Source organism: Homo sapiens, chromosome 14 (assembly GCF_000001405.40).
Source record: "Homo sapiens chromosome 14, GRCh38.p14 Primary Assembly".
NCBI lineage: Eukaryota > Metazoa > Chordata > Mammalia > Primates > Hominidae > Homo > Homo sapiens.
The window spans coordinates 61,977,021-61,995,850 of record NC_000014.9 but is presented as its reverse complement, the minus strand read 5'-3'; the positions used below and the strand labels follow the sequence as shown (position 1 = coordinate 61,995,850).

Sequence of the window (18,830 nt, the reverse complement as noted above, 5' to 3'; positions counted from 1 at the left end):
CACCTGTTAAAGTTACAACCTCAGACCCATCACCAGATACCTACAGACGATGTCAAACAGCATTTGGGCACAAAAAGGGATCATCAGGAAAATCTTAAAATAGTTACATAAAAATGACTGTGAAAGTCTAGATGTAGATTATTTCAATGCCTATTCACCTCCATAGCCATGTGGAAAACTTCCATTAGCAGTAATGGGTTCTGTTCACGTGGACTGAGAGAAGTCTATCCCCATAGACCATCCTTAACAGTGTGAAAAGGATAAATGAATCTTCATTAAGATCCAATTGGGCATGACATTTCAAAACGCAAAAAAGGTCAGATGTTTCATCTACAAACCTGCAGATCCCAAAGAGCTGACTAATAAGCATCTCTGCTTTATGACACTAAAGTTTATACTTGCAAAGGAAGTATGTGTCTGGAATTAAAAAGCTTTAAACAAATCTTAAAATAGGATTTTATATTTTTATGCAATCTCTAGAAATCATATCTATTCTTGGGGAGCAATCGCTGAAAAACTGAGGGTGGCAAATGGATTATCTAGCTTACTGAAGACATGTCCCTGGAATCTCATTGCTTTTGTCTATGTTCCAACCTCCCGAAGATAGATAGCTCTCCACAATCTTTCAGACTCCTAAATCACACTTCATCCCACAAGATTTACAGCCTGAAGGAAGCAGCTCCAGGATATCAACAGAACCACAGGACACTATGAAGACCCCAGAGCTAAATATTTATACTTTTACATGTATATGTGCATACAATGTATACATACACATATGTGTGTATATTATGTGTGTATATATCTTATTGCTATTACAGTGTTCATCAACAGCTCAAGATGAACGTTACAAATGACTAGAGGGCCTAACACACTGCTTAAACTTAATTACCCAATATCTTGTATAGCAATAACTTCCTTTTAACTAAATCTACTAGCTATCCCTTAGTCTCTTGACCTCAGCCACTGCATGTGATATGACTACTTACATTCTAAAAATTTTTTATTAGCCATTCATGGATGCATTGACTTATTCAATAAACAAATATTGATTATCTATTAAATGCTGGCACAATGCCAGGGATAAGGTAATCCTGAGGGCTTTGCCTCCATACAGCCCACATTTCAGTTACAGGGGAACTGAGTTCTCCACATTTCCCCCCTATGCTGAATAATTCATGTGTCGCTCTTTCAGGCTCCTCCTTGTCTTCCCACCACCTACATGTATACAACCAAAACTTGTCCTATGGCTTCCCTTCCCTGTTATATTCACCAGCTGCAAGAGTAGGCCCATCCCTACATTTCAATTAACACCTTTTTGAAACTCCAAAATATACATCTCCAGCCTTTGCTCAATTTTTCTTTCCAGGCTTGTATCTGTGGCTGTCAAAGCCAATGATTCTCAAACTCTGGTGTGTCAGAAACACCTAGTGAGCTAATAAAGAACACAAAGGCCCAGGCTGGTTGAAGGAAAAGGGCCTAGTCTGAACCTTGGGATTTTTGGCAAGTACTCCAGGTGAGTCTGACACCCACGGAAGTTTGAGAAATACTGATAGACTTGGATGTCTCACTAAAATCTCAAATTCAGCTCATCCAAACCTAGTGTATCACTTTGCTACAAGCGTTCATCACTCTAGACTCACAACATGGGGGATTGTGAATTTCTCTCTTCAACACTACCTTCTTCCATTCCAAACTCCGTTAGCTTTTGGTCTCCAAAGATTCTCTTTCATCATATTTTGTACAGTTATCTCATTCCCCACACCCTAGTTCCCTCACATACTACATACCTAGTTCGCTTCATATGCTCTTCTTACCCAGACTCAATTCATTCTGTTTGCTCACCATAACCTGATTTTATATGAGGTTTACACCTGTCTCCTGCTCTAGAATGGAGGCTCCCTGGATGGCAGGGATTGTCTGTTTAGTTCTCTATTTTATCCCCATTGCCTAGAAGTGTGCTGAGCACATAGTGAATTCTCAATAACAAATCCTATTAAAAATCATGCAAAAAACAACACCTAGCATATATTATGTACTCAGTAAATTGGTTAAGTTGATGGATAAATTCTATCCAGAACTGTTAAAAAGATGTTAAACAATGTTATCACATAAGTTCCCTGCATAGTAACAACAGTAAAGATCCTTTTGCCATTTGTTACATCCCATTTCGCCACTCAAAGTTTTTCGGGTTTTTTTTTTCTCTGCAAATATTTTGTGTAAGTTACTAAGCTTCAGTGCGTCACAGATTTACAAGGTTCTCTCTGAGATTCCAGTGGCTTTAGCTCCCACGGCCATCTTTTTGGTACCTTAAACTTTTTAAGCCAGAAATGACATGTTTTCCTTAATAATTCTTCCATCATTCTATTACACACAAAAAAACTTTGAGTTTTTTGTTGTTGTTGTTCTGAATTTTTTAATTTTTTTTATTTCAGTTCTGGGATACATGTGCAGACGTGCAGGTTTGTTACATAGGTATACATGTGCCATGGTGATTTGCTGCACCCATCAATCTGGATCTAGGTTTTAAGCCCCACATGCATTAGGTATTTGTCCTAATGCTCTCCCTCCCCTTGCCCCCCACACCCCCACAGGCCCCGGTGTGTGATGTTCCCCTTCCTGTGTCCATGTGTTCTCACTGTTCAACTCCCACTTTTGAGTGAGCATATGTGATGTTTGGTAGAAAACTTTGTTTTCATATGCAACCCAAAATCTCTGAATTTGAGCCAGCATCTTCTTGTCCAAATCTTCAAATTAGTACAGCTCATATTCTTGGCCTCATATCCCCTTGGTTTCTATAATCTCTGTTCATCAAAACGAAAATGAAAAAATTCATTTTTTACAAAAATTGACAGTTCATCAAAATGGCAAATTTTGTAAAAAATGAATTTTGATCATTCTCCTAGTTTTAAAGAAAAAAAGCCATTATGATTCCCTGTTACTTAAACTGCAAAGTTTGAGCACTGGTGCTGTCAAAATCACTACTCATTTATGTTTGTTGATATAGCGTTTTTTAAAAATTAATTTGAATGTTTCCAACTCTATATAATCTTCACCTCTCCCTGTTGTTTACAATCCACTCGCTTCACTCATTTCTATGTAGCCTGCCCGACCCCTGGATGCATTTGAATTTCCAAGCCCCACCCTATAGGATAAAGTTCAAATTCTGTACTGTGGCATACAAGAGGAGAAGTGCTCAAAAAAACAATAATAATAATTATCAGCACCATCCAACTGGGCTTAGTGCTGGGGGGATCCTAAAGGCTTCCTGCAAAGTGTAAACACTTTAATTGCTGTATCACTGGGTCTGAGGAGGTCTAGAGGTACAAAAGGACACTGGAAGGGGCTTCAGATCGGTGGCTATTTATCAACCAGCTTGGAACTAATTTCAGGACAACAGCAACTCACGGAGCTCCCGCCTTTTGTCCTCACTGAATACCTAGCTGTCTGAGCTGTCCGCAATAATGCTGCCGCGCCATGAGAACTCAGCCTTTCCTTACCACTCCTCGCTGTAAAGTCCTATGTGCCAGTCTCACTGACACACTAAGCATTTTCCAAAGTGACTGTGCTCTTTCCTGACTTCTGTTTGTTTTGCCCAGGATGACTTCTCTCCCTAAACTGCCCGATACTCATTTTTTATGAGGAAATGTTTATTGCTTCCTCTGTCAACTCTTCATCTACAATCAAAGGTGTGGCCTCAGAGTGTTTTGAATGTGCCTTTATGATATAACGTTTCCCTCGGTATAATGGATATTTGTCAGTCTTCCTCTTCCAATGGACTGGGAGTCCACAAGTGCTAGGGCTGTGCTTATACTTTGTAGCTCCAGAATCCACACAGGGCAGGGGCTCTCCATGTTCCATGAATGAATGAATGAATGAATGAATGAATGAATGAATGAACGAACAAAGTTATTAGTGAAAACATTTAAAGCTAAGTAAACCTGATTCCTTTCTATTTATTCATCTCTAAAGTGGCATTAACGCACTAGATGACTTTTAACACCCTTTCTGCTCTTAAATCCAAGAATTTGCCATTGTGTGCCACAGAACATTGTAATATTGAGGACGGATACAACCAGAAGCAAGATGCCTTTTCATGGAATAGTTCTGTACTTTTTTGTCAATAACCATTGTGAGATGATCCCAGAATAATTGGAAAGAAGCCAAATCTCAGTCTTTATATAAAAGAGTGTCCAGTTGCTATATTCTAAAATACTCAAAAAGAAATGAAACCTACAGCTAGAATCTGAAAAACTACCTAGTTAGCAACGCCAGAGATCTTTCATTTTATGCTAAATCAGCCTAAAGCCAAAGAGGCCCAGCACTGGCAGGGTAACCATGGAGATATCTTTGGGGCTTAGGTAAATTTCAACTTGATTGGTAGAGCACACCAAGGATAATAATGCCAGATATATACTGTATCCTACTTCTTTGGTGGCTTTCTTACAGCTAACAAGAAGACAAAGTAGCTTCTGGTGTTTTAGAAAACACACACACACACACACACACACACACACACAAATGAAAAACAGAAAAAAAGTCCAGTTCCCTGGATTAGAAGGAAAAATACATTTAAGGTCTTGTCATATCTGAGAAGGCCCATTATTACAATTGAAATGGTTCATGATATCTCATCACTATGGAAGTATAAAATGAGACAACAAAAAAAGATGGTGTGTGTGTATGTGTGTGTGTGTGTTTACCATACAAGCTTCTATCACAAACATGACCTGGGAAGATTTACAAAGTATTGAAGTACTCAGAATAAACTGACAATCTAAGAAAGAATTAGTAGCAATTGATAAAGATTTTAAAAAGCCATAAATAAATATATTCTTAAAGGCTACTTTTTTAAAATCTTGGTTTAATTGGAATTCTATTTTAATTAAGATCATTTTGTACATAGGAAATGACTAAGCAGTAAATATTAAAGAGTTGTGTTTCTGTAGAAAGAAAAACTGTCAAATTCCTGAGCCATATGTTTTATCAAATATTTTGATTGTTCTCACCAAAGCTAACTGTGAACAGAGAAGAGGTATTCCATCCCAGAATAACAATGCTCATAGTCCTTTAAGGGTTGTTAGTTAAATCTTTCCAACCCCATTTTCTATCTGATGGGGTTGCTTGCAGGGTTGGGGGACAGTTACGACCTAAGAAGAAATACCAGATTCTAGAAGCTGTGCTTTAAAAATCTGTTATTTTGGTGAAAGCTAAAGCAGAAGCCTGTATGCCTGTGTGATTTTCAAAGGATTATCAACTAACTCCTGGAGAAAGTCAGACACATTCTGAAAGACAAGAACATGTTTCCAATAATATGGTCCCCAGGTAACCAAACATCAAATCAAAATTGTATACAAGTTCATCTACTAAAGTGTGCTGATGTTCATCATTTCTTGAAGGAGAAATCACTTGGAAAAATATACTCTTCTCATTCTTCACCAAGACTCATAGGTTAGTCACAAGCAAAAGTCAAGAACCATGGGTTTATTTCAAGTGTCTTCTCATAGCTTTCAGTTAACTTTCTTGTGTCACCTATAAAACGTTGGTTATTTCTTATTGACTTACTAGAGTAGTCATAAAGCTAATTATTTTTATGACAATTATCATGCCTTTTGGAGAAAGACATTTTGCATAGACCTGGTATAAATAAGAAAGCTTAGGAAGATGAATAATGCATGGAGTCAAAATAAGAACTATAAAATAGGCTGCAACTCATCTTTAACATGATTCAAAGGAGTCTACAGGTGTTTTCCGTTAAGAGCAAATTTCTTATGTGGGTTGGAATATGTGTCATTGAAATGAAATATCTTCTACAGCATTTGTCCAAAATGTGTTCTAAACGTTGGCATCTCAACAAATATAAAAAGGGACTACTCAGGACTCTTTCTGGCAAAAATACGGATACAGTACAGCCATATTGTCACTGCCGGGGCATGAGCAATCCAACAGGCCTTTTTACACTGGACTTCAGGGAGGCAGTTAATATAAAATGAAATGTGAAGCTGCCCTATAATCAAAATATGCTTTCATCATTAGACACAGAAAAATGAGACAATACAAAGGAAAGAAATATTAATAGCTTTAGAATCATACAAAACAAGGCTGTCTTGGATCTGCTTCTCACTTACTCCATGGCACAAGGCAAATCATACTAGCTGAGTGCATCTAAATGTTCTCATCTAGGAGAATGAGATCCTAGTAAGATCTCAGGAAAATCACTACTCTTGCAACTCACCATGGAAATCAAATTAGACAATTTTTTGTTGTTGTTGTTTTTGTTTTGTTTTTGAGGTGGAGTCTTGCTCTGTTGCCCAGGCTGGAGTGCAGTGGCATGATCTCGGCTCACTGCAACAACCACCTTCCAGGTTCGAGCGATTCTCCTGCCTCAGCCTCCCAAGTAGCTGGGATTACAGGCTTCTGCCATCAGGCCTGGCTAATTTTTGTACTTTTAGTAGAAACGGGGTTTCGCCATGTTGGCCAGGCTGGTCTCAAACTCCTGACCTCAGTTTATCCACCCGCCTCAACCTCCCAAGTGCTGGGATTACACAGACAATGTTTTTAAAGCAGCTATAACAGAGCCCAGTATTAACAGGCACTCAACATCAGGTATTCAATATTAATCCCAAATTCATCATATTTCAAAAGGTAAAAATACATTAAACTCCTATCATCTTTCCCTAATGAGCTAATACCACGGAAAAAATGGTACTATCATTATATCAAGCATTTTCCAAACACTATATAGTATATAATGCTTTTTGACAACTTATATGAATAAAAACTTTTGTGGAAGATATTGGCCTTCCCATTTTACAGTTGAAAAAAACTGAGGCTCAGAAAGGGTAGGTGACTTGCCCCAGGTTTATATGTGTAATACAGGTGGATCTGGTATTTCAACAAAGGAACGGAATCCTTTGTTGAATTCCAAATTCTTACTTTAACCATTACTCCAAATCTTTAAAAAAAAAATGCGATTAGATAGTGAAGAAACTAGAAATAAAAAAAGGTAAAGTGATTTTCCTAGTAAGTGACAAGTGTGGGGTTCAAATCCAGTTTTGTCTGGCTCTGAAGTTTATTCTCACTGTTTCTAGTACAACACAGTTGCCTGTTTCACTAATGGAACTCTTCAAAAAATGTAAAATGTCACAGTTACTTTTGAAAATAAGTGTAATAAAGTTTAAAAAAATTATAAACTTCTGCTTAAGTCAAGTGAGGGTTATATTTAAATATATTTTTAAACTCTACCCAACAAATAGCTCTGGAGCATGATGATCTCAAACAAACTAGGACTGGCTCAATAAAAGTTGTACATTGCTCAAGGTTTATAACATTATAGCAACAGCACATTGTAAGTATTCCTTAAATTTCATAAGCCCATTGAGTATTTGTGAGTATTTATTCTATCCAAGGCAGAGATTTAAACATGTTCCGCAAATACTCAGTGGTTATATAAACACATAAGGTCTTCAGCATCTCCAGGGGGACTATTTAACATGGCTTTAATGACACAATATTTTTAAAGAGACTATCACTGCTCTCGCACAGAAATCCATTTTCAGATACACACATAATAAAATTTTTATGAAAAAAGAATGAATTCTATTAGACTATACTTGCCTTTTTAAAACCCCAACCAAAATGAGGAAGAATCTTATTGTCATCCAATCTAAAGCAATCACTACAGACCTTTTCCAAAAGGGCATCTGTGCTCCAGGGCCATGGGCGCACATCTACTGGCCCCCAGTAGAGGAGATTCTGAAATCTCAAATAACATCCACAGTATGAAGCAATATAATTAGGAGGAAATGTAATAAAATTGAAGAAGGCAAAATGCAGACACAATAGGAATTACATCCAGACTATAAGATACAGCAGATTACTGATTTTTGTCCCCAAAGCACAGATGGAAACATCATTTGTATCACTTGAAAAGGCACTAGGCTCAAAAGTAGGCCAAAAATGATGGAACTAAGGTCACTGTAACCCTCTTGAGATAGATTTTAAAATATTCTAAATATCAGCAATCATTCAGTGTTTGTTAAAGTTTTTTATACTAATTATAAAAGTAATATCAGCCTTATAAAAATGTGGTAAAAAAAAAAAAAAGGAAAAAAATCATTCCTAATCCCTCCACCATAACACAACTCCAATTATTTTTGCACATTTCTTCTATCGTTTTCCTTGTAATTTGCACAGTTATCATCGGGTTATATAGGAAACTAATAATTACCTTTGACAACTCTTTCTCCTTTAGAATTGCTTACCAAGGCCTACCCATTCTTTCATCTAAATAACTCTAAACTCTATGGCCTTCTGCCACCTAAACAGGTAATACTTGAGTCCAAGTCACCATTATTTCCTAACTGAACCACTTCAACAGTCTCTTAAATGACCCCACTGCATTCACTCCTACCTCATTTCCACAAAATGAACTTCATGATCTTTCTAAGGTGCATATTTGATCACGTCATTCAGTGTTTAAAATGGCTTCCCATTGCACTTATGGCAAAGTTCAAAATTCACAAGACTCAGAAGGCCATCCCTGGTTGGTTCCATCTTGTCTTTAAGTGCTATTTGCTCTCCAGGCTGGGGCATCTCACCTCCTCCTTTTAGTTGCTCAGGCTCCTCTCACAGGCTAAGAAAGCTCTTCTCCCTTCAGGCTCCCTGACCCTGACAGTGCCCATCCATCTCCTTTCAGGTCCCAGGTTACACTTCACTTTTCAGAATGTTTTCCCCCCGCCATAATCCACACTAAATGATGTCGCTGAAATATTCTCCCATAACACCCCTTATTTCTTATTAACACTTACTATAATTGTAGCTTATTGATGACCTATAACATTATTTCTTTTAATACCCATCTGTCTCACTAAACAAGACTTTCTATGAGATCACAGAGTAGGTTAATTGTTGTCTTTGCCATGTTGTCAGCACCAAGCAGAGTAACTGACTACCATAGAATAGGCCATCAATATTTTTGAATATTTGAATACACAGCTCCACATATATACACATACACAAATATTACATACTGCTTCTTTCAGTTAACATTTTAACACATTTTGCATGTTTCTACAGTCTTTTATGTTTATCATTTTAAATGATTTAATATTTTAAAAACTAGATTTTCAATTAGGGCCTCAATAACTTTTCCCACATTCAAATCTATGAAAGTATCTGTTCTAATGAGAACACTTGGACACAAGAAGGGGAACATCACACACCGGGGCCTGTTGTGGGGTGGGGGGAGGAGGCAGGAATACCATTAGGAGATATACCTAATGTAAATGACGAGTTAATGGGTGCAGCACACCAACATGGCACATGTATACATATGTAACAAACCTGCATGTTGTGCACATGTACCCTAGAACTTAAAGTATAATAAAAATATATATATATATAAATTTTTTAAATAAAAAATAAAAAAGTACCTGTTCTAATAATAATATTCAATCCTTTACATTTCAAGACAAAATATCCAGTATTCTCCATCAGAATGAGAATGTCTATAAATTGTATTAATTCAGACATCATAAATTTGGCATTTATTAGTCTTTTGATAGGAGCTACGCTAAAGCTTACTTCTGTATTTTCTATATTAAAAAAAGTTGTTTAGCTGGTTAAACAACTTAATAAATAACAATAATAATCAGGGGTCTGTTTACCTTATAATTACTTTTATTTTTTTTTCATTAAGAGATTAGGAGAGACAGTGGAATGACACTAAAATAGGTATCAGGCACCATGAGCCAGTTCCACCGCTGTACTATTTATGAACTCAAAAAATATGTTTAATATCCTGGACTTCCATTTTTTCACCTGCAAATGATAGAATTACACTTGGTAAGTTGTCAGTGTTCTCTGAAGATAACATTCTAAAGCAGGATCTTGGGGAGCTCCCCTTAGCCACCTCCATTGGACTTGTTACTACTGTTGGTAGCCAATACACATATAATTCATTTTGTTTCAAACATAACTATGATATAGACATATCACAAATTGTAGCATCTAGCAGCCATATCTAGCACATAGAAGTCACTCAAGAAATATTTATATCAAATAAATTTGAACTCAATTGAGACTGGCCTCCATAAATTAGATCTGCTTAATCAGGAGGTCAACCTCCTAAAAAATCTAGGGATAGTTTTTATAAATTTTAAACTATTTGCAAAATGTCAAATGAATGAGGTTTTTCCAGGAGATCATCTTCATACCTTTTTCAGAGTCTTAAAAGGATCTCTATTTCCCAGTTTCACTTCTATGAAGAGCGCAGACTGCTGAAATTGGTCTGTCTCTGAAAGATACCCTACAACCAACAATTACACAACAGGTTTTAATCTGGTCCCCACTCTGGGATGAGGAAAATATAAATCTTTCATCTGATGAAAGTTTTATTGATAGGCAGAAAACCATTCCACCACAAATTACTAATTCATTGCAAATGTTTCTTCTAAATCCTAGGGCACAGACTCACATTCTTATTTATACTGGCCCCCTCCTGTGAATGAACACATCAGCATTCATAAATTGAAAGTCTCTATCTAAATCAGTGCTAACAACTGTTTGATATTTTCCTTATATTCTCTCCTCATTTGTTTACACAAGCTTCAAACTAAACAGGTAGTAAAATTGTTCATTACTGAAGTGACTATTGCTACACATTTTATCTTCTTCATTAGTGGTTATCAAAATGAGGTCTCCTAGGGTCCTTGATGACTGGGCTGTTAGAATAGTAATGCTAATAATATGACATTCTCAATGCTTCTGTGTCTGGCAAACATTAATAATCAGATCCTCTTGGGATCCCATCAAAAACAGCAGCCTTAATGGGATCTTTGTGGTTGCAAACATAAGTAGGTTACATGAGTGGTACATGATGTCTCTCAGGTCTACCGAGCCAAAGTGACCCCAATCAAAGAATATTTGAAAACACTCCTTTTACATTTCCCTTTCTACTGGCAGGGAATTTCACATAAGAACTGGGAAGCACTGTTTTCTAGGCATGATAGTGGAGCCAAATGTTCTTAACTAATTCTACATACATGTGTGACCTATTTTATAGCATTATATATAGTTATACAGATTGTATCTATTCAGTTAAACCAAAATGCTAGTTATATTTCTATTTTAAGCCAACAATGCCTGTCTGTTGCTTTTTCCTTCTCTTTCTCCTTGAATCCTTCCAATTTCTCACTAAAAGACATGGAATCTTACTTACTGAGGAACAGCAAATACCTTGCAGTCTTCTGTTAGCATAGCTCAGTTTATATTCAACTAAAATTTACTACCATCACCCATAATGAATAAGATTCTACTTTCTGATAGCAAAATACTAAAATTTCATTCCAAAAAGAATTTTAATATAAATATGAGTCCTGCAATAGAGCAGCTAATGGAAAGGAAAATCTTCCAAGTGATAGGAAAATGACATTTCACATTGGCTTCTATTTCTAAGCACAGTCCCACATAAAATACACATTTGATTCATTTCAGCTTCTTTGGAGAAATTCTAAATGGAATTCTTGCCCTAAAATGTTATTAAAATTAATACCAGTTAGGTCTTCAACCACAAAAACAAACAATAGGAAAAATAAAAATTTAAAAGGACTCTGACATCTTTCCAACATAGACTAAAGAAGCACTGAGTATAGCTTTAATAGGCATTAATTGTTTAGGGGCAGAAGGGGTGGAGGCATTTGGGAAGATCAAATGCAAACCTTTAAAAAACCTTTCTGTTAAACAGTCAAGGTAAAATATTGAAAGCTTCACCATACTTTCTGTAATGTCTTGTAATGCTATGATTTGGATTTTGCTTCAAGATAATTTTGAAAAGAAACATTCAAAGGGTTTATGCCCTAAAAGTAGGTTCTCTTCATCACCCTGTTCCCATCAAATGTTCTGCACTTTTGTGGAGTGGCAACTATAAATTACCACTCTGTAGTCAATGCTTACTGGGGAAAAACAAAAAAGATAAGCAGTTTTTAATCACATAGCAATTTCATTCAATAAAGCTGACATTAAGCCAGGAGCAGTAGCTCACACCTGTTAACCCTGGACTTTGAGTGGCCAACGTAGGAGGACTCCTTGAGGCCAGGAATTCGAGACCAGCCTAGGCAACATAGTGAGACCCCCCATCTCTAGAAAAAATAGAAAAATTAACTTGGTGTGGTAGCTTGCAACTGAAGTCCAAGCTACTTAGGAAACTGAGGCTGAAGGATTGCTTGAGCCCAATAAGTTGAGATCACAGTGAGCTATGATCACACCACTGCACTCCAGCCTGGATGATATAGAAAGATCCTATCTCTAAAAACAAAAACAGAAACAAAAAAAACCTGAAATTATTTGTTCAAAAGTATCAAGAACTGTTTAGGAGATCCAGAGTAGAAAAACTATAAGAAAATAAGATTCAAAATGTTTTTCAAATTTCTAAATTCACACACTTCAAATAATACCTGTCATCTTTTCATTAAACCTCAAAGTGCCCAAAATAACACAAGCTTGCCATTATTATGAGAGCTTTTATGAATAAGGTATTTGCTCCTTAAGTAGGCTTTAGAGGAACACATATATTTTTAATGGAAGTGTATAAACACAGACATGCTCTTTCTTTTACTTTAATCTGTCAGGCTAAGAAAAATAATGAAATTTTAAACCTATTACTCCAAAAACTAGTTTAAAACTGATCACTCAAATAGCTAGTTAAGCATATAAACTCGTAGACACCCACTTCAATGCAGAAACAGTCACCTCTACTAATTCATTCTGTTCAAACAACACAAATATTTCTTTTCCTTGCTTCCCACCTATCAACTAATTCTGATTTTAATTTAAGGCATATATCTCTTTAAAGTGTAATAAATATTAGGATCTTGCTGACAAGAGAAGCACAAAACCCCAATAGTCCTCTGATAAATGCAACTTTTACCACCTGTGGTATCCTCCAGACAGGATGTATCTTGGAGAGAGATTTCTCTGGAAGACGACATCCAGAGAAGAGCTGTTGTTAATGATGCCAGTTTTTAGCATGTGCAGACAAGCACACAAGCTTTAAACTTACAAAAAATTGCCTCATCTATAATTGAAAATGACATATTTATCTCCACTACGTCAAAAATCCTTCAAAACTTCCCATAAAGTAGGGGGAGATAGTTTTACTGTCTCCAGCAAGAAGATGTGCATTTCATGCTGCCTGAGATCATCCTGGAGACCCACTGATATGGTTTGGCTATGTCCCCACCCAAATCTCTTCTTGAACTGTAGCTCCCATAATTCCCACGTGTTATGGGAGGGACCTGGTGGGAGATAATTGAATCTTGGGGGCAGTTTCCCCCATACTGTTCTTGTGGTAGTGAATAAGTCTCATGAGATATGATGGTTTTATAAGGGGAAATCCCTTTCATTTGGCTCTCATTCTCTCTATCTTGCCTGCTGCCATGTAAGACGTGCCTTTCACCTTCCACCATGATTGTGAGGCCTCCCCAGTCACATGGAACTCTGAGTCCATTAAACTTCTTTTTCTTTATAAATTACCCAGTCTCAGGTATATCTTTATCAACAGTGTGAAAACGGACTAATACACCCATGCTGCAAGACTGAAGGAAGAACTATCAACCAGGCAAAAAGCATTTACTGAGTGTTTCTATGTGGACTACCAAGGTTTACTGAGGGCTGCCTAGAATTCTCAGTCATAAAATTCCATGCTATGACTATTTCAAACATAGAATGGCTCCAGAGCTTCTACTAAAAATAAGACTCAGAGCTATATATGTTAAATATATATATATCCATATGTTACACAGTCATTGGTAAAGTGAAAAAGCATGAAGGAAATCTTCTGCAGCTTTTGAAATAGTGATGTATGTTTAGGGAGCTCTCAAACTTAGGTGTTAAACATTTCCACAGCAATTCATACTTACAGAGAGCTTCAGATTTGTTTTTATTACCATCCTAGCATCACAGAGGAAGCTCAAATGCCCCAAGAAGAATCTGTTTCTAAGGAAACTCACCATGCACCCTTATGTAAATAACTCAGAAAGCAGGGCTGCTCATATTCCAACTGTAAACGTGCACAGGTCTGTCAAATGACTTCTAGTTCCCTCCCAACCTCGAACCTAATGCCTCCATCTCCAGCAATCAGCTGGCTGTGTAACATGTTCATTTGCTGGGTCAAATTCTCAAGCAGGGGACAATAACCCGTGTCTAAGTTGCAAGAAAACAAACAGTACAGGATGGAGATTTTAAAGGAATGTTCTCTGAGCCAGGGAAACAAGAAAATGGAGACGAGAGAGTATCATTTGGAAATGAATTGTCTTTGTTAATAATTGTTGAAGCTGTGTGATAGATATATGGGGTTCATTATATGATTTTCTCTCCACTTTCTTGTATGTTTGAACGTTTCCATAATAAGTTTTTTTAGTGAAGATTTTCTTTTCCCAACCTCCCCACCATAATATACTGAAGGAAACAAAAACACAAATACAGATAGATGAAAGGTAAGATTCTATGATGATTAATTTTATGCATCAGTGTGGCTAAGCCATGGTGCCCAGATATTTGGTCAAATGTTAGTCTGGATGTTTCTGTGAGAATATTATTGTAGATGAGATTAATAATTAAATCAGTGTACTCTATGCAAAGCAGATTGCCCTCCATAATGTAGGTGGGCCTCATCCAGTTCACTGAAGGCCTTAATGGTACAAAAACTGACCTCCCACAAACAAGAAGGAATTGTGCAGCAGACAGTCTTCAGACTGCAAGCGCAAAATTGGCTGTTCCCTGGATCTCCAGTCTATCAGCTCAACTTGCAGATTTAACACTTGCCAGCTTCCATGATCATGTAAGCTAATTCCTTAAACTCTCTCTACACACAACCACACACACACACACAAACACACACACACACACAATGTTGGTACTGTTTCTCTGGAAAAACTCTCCCTAATAGAGCTCCCTATAGCCATTACAGAATTTTCAGTTTTTCTGCCCAGCAATGAGCAAGATGGTCTCAGTCCTATCTAAAGTACATCTCCCTGTCATGTCAATTAGTCTTTTTTTAAGCCCTTACCATGTTTATAACAATCTATAATTATTTTATTTATTTGCCTCTTTACGTTTGGTTTTGTTTTTCCCTGTCTTCACCAAAAGCATGTAATTTCTAAGAGAGTAGGGACTACAACTCTCTTTTTCACCATTTTATTTCCAGCACTTAGCACAATGTGTGGCATGACATAGCTTCACAACGAATAATGTTGAATGGATGAATAAATATTCTCAAACCAGTAATCTCTCAGCCGAGTTTTTTGGAATTTGCACACACCAAACAGGTGATGGGCCCATCTGAATTATTATAAGCCTATATATTTTTAAAGCAAAATATAAGATTAATATCAATTCTCAATTATTTGTGCCTTAGTCAAGTAACCAAAACCAGTGACTATGCATTGCCATGAGATATATCAAGGCTTGTCCTGATGTTGAAATAAACTTTCACAGTTCCTCAATTTTCAAATGTTTAATATCATATATTAGGTTGAACCATATGAAACTTCTCACCTACAAAAACAGCAATTTCATAGTGCAATATAATGTAACCCATAGTGAGAGAAATGTATATTCTATGCAAATTAAGATATTAAAATCAGAAGAGAAAATACCTTGCAACTTAGATTACTCACAAGTGTGCTTCCACACTAGGGACCACCTTTCCAGTTGGGTTTTGTTTTATATATGCCCCAGTGGAGACGGGTGACAAAAGAAGTATAAAGGGGACATTTTATGTATCCTATTATTTCAGGACAAAAAACTATAAAAGTGGAGGGCTTGGGGAATGTAGAAGATATCAGTTTTCTAAAGAGCATTCAATCCTTAATTCTAAAACAATTGGGGATTGAAAACTTAATTCTAAAACTTACTGTGCAATTCTATAGACCGTCAAAAACTATCCCAGTGGAATTTTTTTTTTCTTTTTGAGACAGAGTCTCGCTCTGTCGCCAGGCTGGAGTGCAGTGGCACAATCTCGACTCACTGCAACCTCTCCCTCCCGGGTTCAAGTGATTCTCCGGCCTCAGCCTCCTGGGTAGCAGGGACTACAGATGCACGCCACCACGTCCAGCTAATTTTTGTATTTTTAGTAGAGACGGGGTTTCACCATGTTGGCCAGGATGATCTCGATCTCTTGACCTCGTGATCCACCCGCCTCAGCCTCCCAAAGTGCTGGGATTACAGGCATGAGCCACCACGCCTGGCCAGAATTTATTTTTAATCATCTAATGAAAAAGAAAAGGAGGGGAATATGTACTCTTTTTTTATTCCAAGATATTTGATTCACTTAAGATTCATCTGAGTAGGCCATGCCTAAAAGGAAGCCACTGCACAGACCTGCAGGTGATGGAACCTAGACTCTGGGTACAGGTAAAAGAAAATTCATTGCTAAAGAAGGCAACAAAATGCCCCAGGAAAGAAGACTATAGATTATGCTGATTTTACATTATCCTGAAAAATGTCTTTCTCTGCCTATATTTAATTCATCAATCATACTAAATATGAAGTATGAGGAAGCTGACGATGGTTATTTACAACTATAAGATGAGCACATGGCTAAATGTTCCTCTCCATCTCAAGGAGCCAAAAATAATAATAATAATAAGACCACTCCTACATCCCTATATCAGGCTACTATACTATCTATTTTTATTTTTACATCTGTTTCAGATCCTGATTCACACCATTTTACAAAATTTGTCATTATTCTTCCTTATATGGGCATAAAAGGAAAACAGAATGTTATCCAAATCATTAAGAGGATCCTGAAAGATACAGAGATGGGACAGCCAGACTCTTCTGTTTTGGCCAAATTCACCAAAAACTTCTAAAAGTCTCGAAATCTTGAATTTAAATTAAAGTTGGTTATAATTTGACAATCTTGAATAATCTTATGGAATAGACAACTTTCGTAAATAACTTATTTTTTATTCCCTGTGCAGAAGTCAACTGCCCAATATATATGGGGCAGTGGGGAGGAAAAGCATCATGAAGGAAAAACCTTGTTTGCTCACAAGGTGGACTAAAGCAGTGAGGGAGGGAGCCAGGTGGAGAAACCACCAGATGGATACTTTGTGTGGGCAGCAGCAAAGGGGCACTGGTCCAGTGTTAACACTCTGGTCAAGCACTTCCCTCCCTGACTTAAAAGGGGAACTTAACAATAGGTCTACCCCTTTTCATCAATGGTTCTCCACCTGGCCACACCTTTAAATCACCTGGCATTCTTTTTAAAGCTGTAAGTTTGCCCTGCCACTCCCTGTTGTGATGTAATTAATTTGCAGTGAGCCTCACACTTGTAGTTTTTAAAAGCTTCCCAGAATTGAGATCCTGTGTGGTTCAACTGAGGTTACAGTTAGAAAATACCCTGACTGCTAATTACAATCTCTATCATAAGTGTCTGACAAGCTTTTGTTACATCTTTCTTTGTAAGAATCATTATAACCCCAGTTGAGGAGTGTGGAATACCAGTGCTGGAGGAAAATTGAGAAAAGAGAATCTTGCCTCCAATTTTCATCAACTCTCCTTATTTGAAAGGATTGGAAACCACTGCCAAGTTGGGCTTCCACCTTCTTCTCCTGCTATAGTGGGCTGAATGGTAGCTCCCCAGAGATATGTCCATGTCCTAATCCCTGGAATCTATGCATGTTATATTATTTGAAAAAAGGGTCTTTCATTGCAGATGTAATCAAATGAAGAATTTGAGATGAGACTAGATTCCTTGATTACCACCAGTGACTAATGACACAGAGAAGAAGGTGAGGTGAAGACAGAGGCAGAGATTGGAATGATACAGCCACAAGACAAAGAATGCCAAGGATGACTGCCAGCCACCAGGAGCAAGGAGCAAGTCATGAAACAGATTCTCCCTAGAGTCTCCAGGGATCGTGGCCCTGCTGACACCTTGATTTCAGAATATGGGTCTCCAGAATTGTGCAAAAATAATTTATGTTGTTTTAAGACAACAAATTTGTAGTTATTTGTTATGGCAGCCATAGGAAACTAATACATCCCCCAAATCCTCCATTCTCCTATTTTTTTCAACCCAGATGTTTACTTCAAAGCTATGAAGTAGTGGATTAAGTTGGGAAGATTAGGTGGGCAAAAAAATGGGGTGATAATGGTAACACTTTGTGTCCCCACCCAAACCTCATCTTGAATTGTAATCCCCATAATCCCTGTAATCCCCATGTGTCAAGGGAGAGACCAGGTGGAGGTAACTGAAACATGGGGGTGGTTTCCCCCATGCTGTTCTCATGATAGTGAGTGAGTATCATGAGATCTGATGGTTTCATAAGGAGCTATTCCCCCTTTGCTTGGCACTTCTTCCTGCTGCCTTGTAAAGAAGGTGCCTGCCTCCCCATCTCCTTCTGCTATGATTAAGTTTCCTGAGGTCTCTCCAGCCATGCTGAACTGTGAGTCAGTTAAACCTCTTTCATTTATAAATTACTCAGTTTCAGCCAGTCCTTTATAGCAGTATGAAAATTGACTAATACAGTAAATTGGTACTGCCAAGAGTGGGGTACTGCTATAAAGATACTTGAAAATGTGGAAGCAACTTTGGAACTGGGTAACAGGCAAAGATTGGAACAGTTTGGAGGGTTTGGAAGAAGACAGGAAGATGTGAGAAAATTTGGAGCTTCCTAGAGACTTGTTGAATGGCTTTGACCAAAATGCTAATAATGATGTGGACAACGAAGTCCAGGCTGAGGTGGTCTCAGATGGAGATGAGGAACTTCTTGGAAACAGGAGCAAAGGCCACCCTTGCTATGCTTTAGCAAAGAGACTAG

General features: G+C 37.4%; 1 protein-coding gene across 14 annotated transcripts in view; it reads right to left on the bottom strand.

The window, feature by feature from the left end:
• Positions 1–18,830, bottom strand: part of SYT16 (synaptotagmin 16) — a 300,664-nt gene that overhangs the window by 116,975 nt on the left and 164,859 nt on the right. The gene's annotated exons all lie outside the window — the stretch shown is intronic.